The 12,409-nt window shown below is 37.2% G+C and overlaps 1 long non-coding RNA gene across 1 annotated transcript, besides 1 other annotated feature; it reads left to right on the top strand.

The window, feature by feature from the left end:
* Window positions 1-1,282: 1,282 nt before the first annotated feature.
* Window positions 1,283-4,216, top strand: LOC124901695 (uncharacterized). The gene is made up of 2 exons (XR_007060425.1): window positions 1,283-1,408; window positions 4,115-4,216. It is a non-coding gene; the product is annotated as an uncharacterized LOC124901695 (long non-coding RNA).
* Window positions 11,493-11,542: a silencer, noted in NCBI's record as "silent region_18364". NCBI's record gives its function as "represses an Ori minimal core promoter by ATAC-STARR-seq in GM12878 lymphoblastoid cells {active_cell/tissue: GM12878}" and the evidence as "EXISTENCE:reporter gene assay evidence [ECO:0000049][PMID:35858748]".

Here is a 12,409-nt window from a genome sequence, read left to right as displayed (position 1 = left end):
ATTGGGCTATCCCTTCTTGGGCACTGTCCCACGCTCTGATAAAACTTATCTGCCCTGTGATCCATTCTTTCAGAACTTTGCCATCTCCTCACTAAGAGAACAGTATCCATGTGCAGATGGCATAAATGCCATTTATTGATGACAAGTTAATGTATGACCTCTGGCCAGGTGTAAGCCTGGGCCCATGAAGCAAGGACTACAGCATCATTGGCAACTGTCCTTCCCCATAGTCAAGTAGGACCCAGCAGGAACCAGTTATTGCTTCTTGAACTCAGGAGTGCCCCCTGCTGGGATCCTACAGTGTTCCCCAATCTTCCTCGGTGTCAACCTCTGTGCCTTGAAATTGATGGCAGCTGACATTTATTAACCACTTGATATGTGTCAGGTTTTATTGTAAGTGCTTTAATTCATGTTTTAATTCATACAATCACCACAACAATCCTGTGACACTGAAATGATATATCAGAATGGAAATCAGCTGACTATCAGTCCTGGATACAGGTTTTATTAATATCCCATCTTGACATTTTGAAGGTGAAGAAATATGCTTTTATTCGACAAATATTTTTGAGCTCCTACTATAACCCAGGCACTGTTCTAGGCCCTGAGCATACTCCTATAAGCAAAACACAAAAACCCCTGCCTTCATAGAGCTTAGATAACTGTGAAGTTAATGAAGAAAATTTTTTGGCAGTGATCTTAAATCAAACCAGACAGTGAGCTACTTCCCCTGCTGGGCCTTGCCTGTCACAGCTGAAAAGCTGCTTCTCAACTTGTGTGGAGCTATCAGAGTTATAGTCATTGGACTGGCAGTCCAGCTGCTCTCATAGATGGCTTCAGCTCCAGCTTCATTTGCACCCCTGTGGGCACTGGGAGGTGAGTTGCCAAACTTCTTCTCTCATAAAGGCTCCAAGAAGTGGGCTGGGACAACGCCAGAAGAGTTCATAATTCTGTCTTTACCAGCTCTGTGGACAGAGGAAGAGTGCCGACGCCAAAACGTTAAAAAAGTTATAAAGTCACTTGGAAAGAGCTTAAAACAAAACAAGTACACTTTGCAATGGAAATTTCCAGCTACATGTAAGAATTTACTAAAGACAGAACCTCAACTTAGTTTTAAAAAAGAAGGCAACTTCCCTTTGTGAATTAGGAACAAAGTAAATTAAGATCTTGATCTCATGGGTACTCTATTTATAAAGAAACATTCTACCATTAGCATTTTGACAGGACTGATGTGGCCAGCTGTGATGAGGAAGCATTGTGTTTGTAAACTTTACCTCCAGGCTTTTAACATTCAAATGTCCCTTTGAACCTTGGAAGGCTACTATCTCAGAGAGAAAAAGCAGAAAATCAAATAACTAAAGTGAGGGCACATCAGAACTGCTGGGACAGCATGGCCTTGCTAAGGAAGGTAGGCTGCTCTGGGGTCGCCAGTGGATGTTGAATAATTTGCAGATGTAATTTTCTAAACTGTGATGTGGGGTCAGGAGGGGGATGATGGTTGGGGGGACTAGGGTCACCCTAACAATGTAAACATTATGCTGCTATCTTTGCCCTCGTACTCGATTTTTATTTCTTCTGGTAAATTATAGTGTCTTATATTTTTCTGATTTTAAAACAGTACATGGTTAGAATAAAAGAGCAAGCATGGCAAAACTAACAATCGAAGGTGACAGTCCCTCATAGTGTGACAATGCATTCCAGTTTGTCCAGGGCAGTCATAGTTTATATCTGTTGTCTTGGTGTAATTATTAGTAGCAAATCCTTCATTTTCAAAGGCATCTCTGTTTGTACAATAAATTACATGTTACTCTATTCATAACCTACACCCCAGGCAGGCTTAACTATGGTTAACTCTTTCAGTCTATTCTCAAAATTCACCCTTGCCTACTAAATTCAGGAGCTCCGAAAGGTGTTTCACATGTGCTCAAGAGCATAATCTTCACAATCACTGTATGACGCCCCATCTTTCCTTCCCTGAGATTTGCTCTGGCAGTGTGCAGCATCTGTGCGGCATCTATGAAGGCACTCCTGCAGCCCCTCTGCTGCCCCTGTTGGCACTGGGCCACCTCCTTTTACTGTCAAAGCCAGTCAGCCCCACCTGCACTGATGACGCAGTAACATGATACCTCCAGCGAACCAAATCCACTCAAATTGCTGCCAATGAGCCAACTCTTTCTGCTCCACGAAGTCATAATGAATTCTCCAATGAAGTAGGGCACTTTTCATGGTGCATTTTATCAATGTAGTGGCACAGCATGCCAAAGATTTTCATTAAAATAAAAAGTAAAAGAAAAAAGAAAAATCTCTTACAGATTTTTTATGAAAACAGCCCTTTCAGTGTTCATTCTCAGGCTGCCTTCTTAGTTGGCTTTAAGGGTAGATCCACGGGTACTATTGGTGTACATCCCACTCCTGAAAGTTGAGCACTGATCTTCCACCAAGCTGGAGGGATTTGACTCTGGCCTAAGGTAAGTTATTCCCCAGGAGATGCCTTGGTCCTCATTAAAAGAGAATTCTGGCAGTGTTGTAGATACAAAGGCATGTTTGACTCACAGTGTGATCTCATTTGCCACATGCAATCATTTTTAAAATCTATTTATATTAATGGTCCGCTTCCTCTTTATCTTTTCCCCTCCCTCTTCCACATTTTCTTCACAGTTTTCCAGTCTCTGTGGCGTTTTATTAGTGTAATGTTTATTCATTTTCTTACTTCTTGTACTTTATTTGTTATGGTGGTAGGAGAAGGAGGAAAAATCTTTCTTGCCTAATGGGGTCACTTTTCAACTGTCAATTTCTGGCAAACAAGACTACGTCATAGCACAGACTCAATGCCATGTGCATGTGAATCCTTAATAATTGCTGCTGTGATTCGAAGAAGAAAGCTCAGGACTTATAATAAATCCTTCGTATTATTACCTTTTCGACAGAACATAAATATAGATGTCAAGATATTTAAAATATTGGGTGGGCTCAGGAAATAGAGACATATTTTATTTTTCATGGCATCCAATAGCTAACCAACAAGAAAGAAAGCAGACAGGAATGGTATTTTTGTGTCTTCAGCATTTGCTAACAGAAAACCTACTTTTCTTTGGAGCTGCTTAACTGAATGTACATTAAACAGCAAACCATATCAGAAAAACTTTAGTTTTGATAATTTTCACTTTACATTTTTCTGTCTTGGTGTTCCAGAAGTTTCTCTTGCCATTTAGCCCAGAAGCTGACTGTTGCATCCCGGTGATACATTCAAACATAAGAATTCAGTGTAGGGTCAACAAAAAGGCTCTTTCAGATCCGGAAGGAGGGAGCTCTCAAAGCTGCCCACATTGCTGCATACTATAAGCTCCACATTTCCTAAGACCCTGGCTTAGTTTGCCAAATGGGACAAGTTAAGATAATTTTAAGCAGCCCTAAATTGCAATGCAGCATTTTGTATGAAGGAACTGAAATTCTGTGGTAATTAGGAATATTTATATCATGGGGATGTATTGCAGAGTGGAATTTTTAAAAACCAAATTTTACTGAAATCTCACCATAACACTCTCCTTAGACTTCCTGCTGTGGGACCTTCTTCATGGTGTGAGTGGCTTCTAATAAGATCTTTTCAGTGCTTCAGGGATGAAACCTCTTGAATAGTGCCTAAGATCTCCCAGTTGATTTAGCATTGCAGCCTAGAGTTCTATAGAAGTTTCAGGGCAACAAATACTAATAAACCTTGGAATGATTAAATTAATACTGTTTATTGATAAAGTATTACAGTCTATATTTTGGGAGATTTTAAATTTTGCTAAATGTAAGTCATTATTTGATTAGCACTATGGTTTGGATGTGGTTGGTTCCCACCAAAACTCATGTTGAAATTTGGTGTCCAATGTAGTGATGTCAGGAGGTGGGGCTGATGGGAGGGGTTTGGGTCAGGGGGGGCAGATCCCTCATGAATGGCTTGGTGCTGTTCTTGGGGTGAGTTCTCACTTTTTTTGAGACTGAATTATTTCTAACAGGAATGGATTACTTCCTGAGAAAGTGGGTTGTTATAAAGCCAAGATGCCCCTAGGGTTTTGCCTCTTTCTATGTGTCCATTTCCTCTTTAACTTTCTGCCATGTTGTCCTACAGCATGAAAAGCCCTCACCAGAAGCTGAGCAGATGCAGGTGCCATGCTTCTTCAACTTCCCAGGCTACAGACCATGAACTGAATAAACCCCTTTTCTTTATGAATTAATCAGCCTCAGGCATTCTGTTATAGCAACACAAAGCGGACTAAGGCAATTTGTTTATGGTAAACTTGAAATGGTACTATCAGATAGATAATTTAATCTGCTGACTGCCTCAGCTGTCCCTGAAATAATGTCTCTGGCTACTTTGAAATATCAGGAACCCTCTTTTTAGTTACCGATTCAGTGTTGAACCACACAAAATAATATAGTATTTATACATATTACATTATTGATCTAAAGTAGATTTGACTCAAATAAAATTTTAACCAGGTAATGTACTAAGCTTTTGGGGTATTGAGTAAAACAGAAATTAGTAGACTAGAAAGGAGGAGAGACAATTATATAAGCTGTTACATAAACTGTAACAAGTTTTATGATAATGAAGGTACAGGATGCTACATGAGTGCATAGCAGGGGCACATAAGAGGCTCTGTGGGGTTTAGAAACATATCAGACAGAGACACATATATTTAATGATAACATGTTTTCCCCAAAGCTATCTAAAGAATATCTCCATGCATCTTTGGAAGGTTTGATGGTGATATTTTAGAATCTTGGATTCTAGAAGTACAACAAAAACTTCCCAATAAATAGATGTACTGCATATTTTTTCTTTGTTTACTAAACACTTAATAATTATTAAGAAGGCAAATGCACATATTTCACATTATCTTTCCATACACAGGTGACATCAAACTGGAAGAGAGAGTGGATATAACAGATGATAGAATCAAAACTGAAATGTACTGTTTTAGTTCAAAAGGATGAAGTTATCTTTTTTAGTGGGAAACAATATTAAATGTATCAAGGATACATATAAGGACTTACTTTTAGATAAGAAAGTAGAAGCAAAGGAAAATCTAGTCTGTTAGTGGTTTGCCCAGGGGGGAAATAATCACAATATTCAGCAAAGTTTTCTGGGATGCTATAGTGAATGTGTCTATGAACAAAACCCATGCAGCCTGAGGTGACATTAATAGAAATATATAATTTCCAGAGCAGATGGGTGTTTAGCACATTGATGGGCTAACATCTGAAAGAAGATTTTTCCTTCTGGGGGTCACTTTTAAAGAGAGACAGTGACAAACCCACATGTTTACAGGAGAGTGAGAAGTCAGGAATGATTTATTAAGTCAATTTGATGCAACTACCCTTTGTTGAGTATTTGCTTTGTGCTGGGCACTGAGGATATAAAAAAGACAGTTTTCTCCTGTGAAACTGATCACGGTCTACTGGGGAAGATGGACACATGAACAAATCACTAGGATGTATTCATACAATTGCTGCTTTAAAAGTGCTATGGGAACACAGAGAAAAGAAAATTAATTCTGCCTGGGGGTATTAAGAACCTACCAGGAAAAGATAACATCTGAATTTGGCCCTTGAAGAGTGGTGTTCAAATTTCCTCAGTGGTAAGGGAACAGGGAATGGAGGAGACAAGGACCTGCCAGGCAAAATGAACAGTGAGTCCAGTGTGCCTGGATTTCATGAGGGGCTGAGGGGAAATGGGGCTAAAGGACCCAACAGGGGCCAGCAAGTTTGGACCTAAATCTTTAGAAAATGGGGAGCCATCTGATGCTTCTCATAAGAAGAGTGAGTGTTCAGCTTGGAGAAGGAACAGTCAAGGTTTTACAGGTGCCTTATACTTTCAAATAACTGCACTGCTGCTGATAGAAAGTAGGGTAACATATCTATTGAGAAAGGTTCCAAGGAGCAGACATGGTACTAACAGATGGATGTGACAGGCTGATTTTAACCCTTCTATCAACCAGAATAGTCAGCAATGGGAAGGAATGTGTCAAGATTCAGGGTCCTGTTGATATTGGTGGGCTCATGCAGAGAATAGATAATGACTCCACAATAGTCAGCAATGGACTCTAACTTGTTTTTAATCTTATGAGCACTATGGAGTTTTCAATTTATCATTTCAGTTTGGCTCCTAGGAAGTTCAAAGACAAAATTTTAGCCCACCTCTGGCTAGTATAAAAAACCTTATAATATGCCCATAGCATATTACAAGTTACCTTATCTATATTTTCTACTCAGCTAATACTCTAATATATTTTTACATTTATGTTATACAATGCATTATGATGAACCATATGAAGGCTTTTTTAATGGAGTGGTATATAAATATATAGGTAAGCAATGAATCTAACTAATTCTAGAATCACCCCTTTTTCAGTTTATTCAGAGGTATAAAAACCATCATGAACTCCCCTCCCTTCTACCATGGAATCAGTTTCAGAATATTGACAAGAAGCAAACTGCAAAGCAAAACCACAGTGAGATACCATTTCGTGCTCATTAAAACAGCTATAATCAAAAAGACAGACAATAACAAGCGTTGGCAAGGATGCGGAGAAACTGGAACCCTCACACATTGTTGATGGGAATACAAAATAATTGAAGACACTTTGTTAAAACAGTTTAGCAGTTCCTCAAAAAATTAAACATAAAGTTACCATACGACCCAGTACCACCCCTAAGTGTATATGCAAGAGAATTAAAATAATATATTCACACAAAAGCTTGCACACAATGCTCATGGCAGCACTATTCATAATAGCTCAAAATAGCAACAACCCAAGTATCTATTAATGAATAAGTAGGAATAAGTAGGTAAGCAATGTGCTATATTTATACAATGGAGTATTATTTAGCCATAAAAAGGAATGAAGTACTGACACATGCTCAAACCTGTGCAAGTCTGGAAAACATTCTGATAAGTGAAAGAAGTCAGGCACAAAAGCCACATGTATGACTCTCTTTATTTGATATATCCAGAATAGTCACATCCACACTGACAAAAACTAGATCAGTAGTTGCCAGAGGGTGGGGGAGGGAGAAATGAGGAGTGCTTCCTAATGGGTCAGGGTTTCTTTTTAGTGTGATAAAATATTCTGGAGTTAGGTAGTTGTGAGTATTGTACAACTTTTTGGAATACTAAAAACTACAAAATCTTATTTTTAAATTTTATGGTGTATGAATTGTATCTCAGTAAAAAAAAATTTTTTTTAATTAGTTGGGTAGGTGGAATGTGTGGGGGATGGGTCAATTTTATTTTCTTGATAAAGGTTTTACTTGATTATCACTTCAATCACCTCTACTTAATTCAAGTGCTGTTTTAACTTTCTTTGAAAATCTCATTTAAAAATGCATGTGCCTTAGCCTTGAAATTAGCAAAATTTGCTATTTGGAAGGAATTGCTCCTAAATGACCATCTAATAGCCAACTCTTTTTTTTATTAGTCATGAACTGCCCTCTGAATTAAGTATTAATACTATGTATAAGTAATTAATTACATCAATAAATATTTATCTTTGAAATTCAACATCCATCATTCATAGACTAATTTACACATCATTAAAATGTTTATATAAACACTATGCAAAATGTTTATTCACATAAACATTTTAATTTTAAAAAATCAAAAATTGTTTTCCATACTCCCTAGCTAGAGTCCCTAGCTAGACTCTAACATGGCATCCTACATACCTGGAGGAGGTGTATCTTTCCAGTATATTACACAGTACAAAGGAAGGGGCTGCTTGAAACTTTCCAAGGTACAGTAAGTTCTAGAATAAAATTATTTTATTCTAAAAAGATTTGGCAGTCTTTTCCTCTGTGCTGTGATTCTTTCCTATGAAGAATTAACATTCTTTACATTCTTAACATGCTTAAGACAACATGAGTTTAGATATCTTAGATTTTTTTTTTTAATCTTGTAAAATCAGTTGGGATATATTTTAGTCCTGTCTTACTCACATTTCCCAGTTACCTGGATTAACTGATGCGAACAACAATGGTGCTTTGAAGCTCTTGGGTACAACAGTGGAAATGATCACATTTCTTGATTAATGAATGAATTCTTTCATAAGGATTTGTTTATGGAAATAAATAGAGTAATACCTTGATTAGTGAATTCCCTGGGAAGGAAGGGACTTTTAAGAAGTCAGATGTATTAAAAACCTAAACAAACAAAATACTCAGAAAGGTTGGGAAGCTGAGCTGCCTGAGAAGTCTCTATGCACAGCTTCTTCTGCAAATGGCAGCCCCACTGAAAGCAAAGAGGCCCACGCTGGGGAATACCAGGAGCCTTTTAAGTCCCTCCTCTGCCTGCACATCAAGCTGCCACCTGCTGCACTATCTCCCTCTCTGTGGCTGTTGTCAGAGCCCTATCTAAGCAAGAGAGAATCTGTATCCTTCTCCTTCACTGTTTAGGGGTCAGTTAACTGATACTACTCTGAAAGTCTTCTTACTAAAGGGATAATTCTAAGTTAATCTCTAGTTGTGGAATTCAACCTCCTCCCTTAAAAAAAAAAAGCTAATAATTTTAAAAGAATTTTAGACCTGAGTAAACCACTCAGTGGCCTTGGCCACTTGACTGTTTCTGATTTAGACCTTTAGGGACAAAGACCATGTGGACAGAACAGATCTGCTCCCTACTGAGGATTCTGTAAAGCTGGTTCTCATAGCTTCACTTCACTGGTGAAGTTCCACAACATGTTTATAAGAGGGAGTTTGCTGGTGAGACAAATCGCTAGGGGTTTATCTTGAAGTTGTGTTTTAATCCAGTGTTTCAAAGAGAACTCAAGAACATCCAGCATCAGAATCACCAGAATGGAGGTTCCCGAACCTCTTCCCTGGCCAACAAAATCAGCACCTCTGAAAATGAGGCCAGAAATCCTCATTGTTAACGTGCTCTCTGAGTGATTTTTACGCACATTCAATTTTAAGAATTCCTAGTAACCCATTGTCACCTCTGATAAATACCGTATATTTTGAAGATCATCTGATTTTATTTTAGTTAGCATTGAATAAATATCCCCATCGTAACCAGTCTTATCTGAGGTCTACAAACACACCCTACAACTCCTACATTAATTCAGTTTGTCTCTAATGAAGCTGTATATTATTAAAATACATATTCTTTATTTATAGAGCCATTACTACATTCAAGTGACCTCTGGTCTATTCCTGAATTATGCCTCCTTGGGAAAAAAGCTATAAAGAAGATGAATGATGTAAAATTTTAGAAGAATATAAAGGATGGTGGTATTAAAAGATAACTGCATATGCTAACTTATTATTGATTTATAGAAATTTTGATATATTTCTGTGTAATTTCTCCAAAATCACATTCTTAAAAATAATGTATATTCGGGGAGAACTATGAACATTTGGAATCTTCTTCTTAAATAATTGCTTTAAGAGGCATATATTTTCAGAAAGATTTATATATATATATATATATATAGATTTATATATATGGAGGAAAATATACACTTCCAGCCGTAACAGTGTAGATAGAAGAAAAAAACTTGCAGTTGGTTTTTAGTATGGATTAAAAATTACATTTTAGAGAACATTTTTAAGGATGCATTTGTAATGCCAGGAAAATTTATTCTCCAAAAATGTCAACACAACATTTTAAACTAAGGCAGGTGTATTCATTATCTGAATTTGTATAAAATGCAACCCAGGCAATTGAGATTTCTTTTCTTTTTTGACAAAATGTTTAAATTAAAGATAATGAGAAAAAGATTGTCTCTATAAATATGATGGTAACTTCATGAAGAATTAAAATCTATAATCACAGCTAGAGATACATACTAGATTAATCGGAGATGAGATTAACTATATCAACTCTCGCTCCCATCCAGCCCCTCACTAAAGAGCAAAAATGTAATCACTTGACAGATGTGCTTCTGATGAAAGCCATACAATTATATCATCTGTAGCTTAAAAAAAAACAGTGGGGTTATATGTGTTCACTTGGGAGAAAAAGGTTGACATCAGTCAATCTCCATCTTTTTCTGATCTATTTCTGGGACAGACACAAAATATGAATTTAGAGAAATGTGTATTGAAAAGACATATAGAGTAACAAAAAGGGTAGCAATCCAGAGAATATGTGCAAAGACGAGGAAGAAAGATGACATCTGAAATACAAAGAAATCAGGTAGAGCACAAGGACTGATCTGCAGACCTCTTAACAGAAAATGGGGTAAAAGGAGAGGGGAAATCAATGGGGAATTGACCACTGACAGAAACATACTTTGAAAGAATGAAATGGGAACTGAAGAAATTCAGGAATCCACTTAAAAAAAAAAGTAATCGTAAAGAATGAGAATGTGGAAGGAATACTTCTAAAAGAAAAATTTTCTAGCTCCAACAGCTAAACATAGATGTGGCAGATAGAATAATGGCCCCCAGCAATGTGTATGCCCTCATCCTTGGAACCTATGAATACGTTACCTTACATGGCAAGAGGTATTTTGCAGATGTCATTAAGGCTAGTAACCTTGAGATGGGGAATTATCCTGTATTGATCTAATCATGAGTCTTTAAAAGCAGGCAAGTATTTCCAAATGGAGAGAATCAGACAGAAAGAGCTTGACCCAATGTTGCTGGCTTTGAAGACAGGAAAACTGTGTCACAAGCTATGGAATAAGCCTCCAGAATAGAGGAAATAAAGCTGGAAAAAGTACAGAACAGATTCTCCCTTAGAGCCCCCAGAAAGAAACATAACAATGCAACACCTTGATTCTAGCCCAGTGAGACAGGTGCCAGGCTTCTCACTTATAGAACTGTAAGATGATAAATGTGTATTTTTCAAGTTTTTAGTAATTTGTTGCAGCAGCAATAGAAAACTAATACACTAGATCACAGAGGTGACCAAGGCACCAAAATGGCTAGCTATTCTTATATGAGGAAATAATACAATTACTAATCAATCTCTTTGATATAAGCCCTCAATCCTGCTCAACTTCATGCATCAAAATATGTTCAGTCCATATCAGTTGTATCAAAGGAACATTTTCATAATTGCTGTGAAGTAAGCTCCCTTTGGCAATATAGTCAACAAGGACAAACAAAGGATTCTTATAATTGTTCGATTTGTTATCAATCCAGTAGAGGAGTATATTTCTGAAGGGAAATTATGAATCACTTCCTGGTCATGAATTAGAGTGGCCTCAAAGAGCTGTTTCCATGTTACTCAAGTATAAAACCTACCAATTAGGTCAATTTGTTAGGGGTTGTAAAGAAATTAAATTGAAATTTAATTAGTAGTTCCGCCTTATCCATAGGGGATACATTCCAAGGCTCCCAGTGGATACTTGAAATGGTATAGTACTGAGCTCCATACATATTATGTTCTTTTCTATATGTATCTATGATGAATGAAGTTTAATTTATAAATTAGGCACACAAAGAGATCAACAACAATGACTAATAATAAAATAGAACAATTATGACAATATACTATCAAGGTATATGAATGTGGTCTCTCACAAAATATCTTAGTGTATTGTATAGTACTTACCTATTTTAGGACTGTGGTTGATTTTGGGTAACTGAAACCTCAGAAAGCAAAACCACAGATAAGGAGGGAACTACTATACAGTCATGCATCTCTTAATGATGGGGATATGTGCTGTGAAACACATCATTAGCAATTTCAACACAGTGAGAACACCATAGAGTGTACTTACTTCAACCTAGATGGCATAGCCTCCTTACACACCTAAGCTATATGGTATAGCCTATTGCTCCTAGGCTACAAGCCTGTATAGCATGTTACTGTACTGTACTGAATACCATAACACAATGGTGAGTATTTGTATATCTTAAAGTAGAAAAGGAACAGCAAAAATACTGTATTATAATCTTATGGGCCCACCATCATATATGTGGTCTGTCATTGACTGAAACATCACGATGTAGCGTGTGACTATAGCATATCCCAAAGCATACATTAATGCATAGAGATGCACTTATGCTTTAAGAGCAACATCACCGGTTGATTAATAAAGTACATTTGTGTCATTTAACCTTAAGGTTGCCCATTATCTTAATTTTTTGTGTAAATAAGTCTTGTAAAACATGCTTAGCCTGAAAAGAGATGCAGGAAAAATATGGCATTAGTTTGCTTTATGCCTTTTCAAGTCACATCAGCAGTAAGGGTGAGTGATAGAAGCAGGAGGAGTGAGAGAGGGAGGTGGAGGAAAGAAGAGACAGAAAGGAGGAAGGGGGGAGAAGAACAGGGAGAAGAGGAAGAGAGAAAAGAAATATGCAAGGTGAAGAAGACTAAGATGTGTAGCTGACTCTAGTGCTAAAAATGTCATTATGTACTTCATTTCTTTGATTCCCCCAACAGACCTGAATTAGTGAAAAATGATTATTATTA

This window comes from Homo sapiens, chromosome 7 (assembly GCF_000001405.40).
Source record: "Homo sapiens chromosome 7, GRCh38.p14 Primary Assembly".
In the NCBI taxonomy this organism is placed as follows: domain Eukaryota; kingdom Metazoa; phylum Chordata; class Mammalia; order Primates; family Hominidae; genus Homo; species Homo sapiens.
Note: the sequence above shows the minus strand (reverse complement) of the source record. Positions and strands in the feature narration are given on the sequence as shown.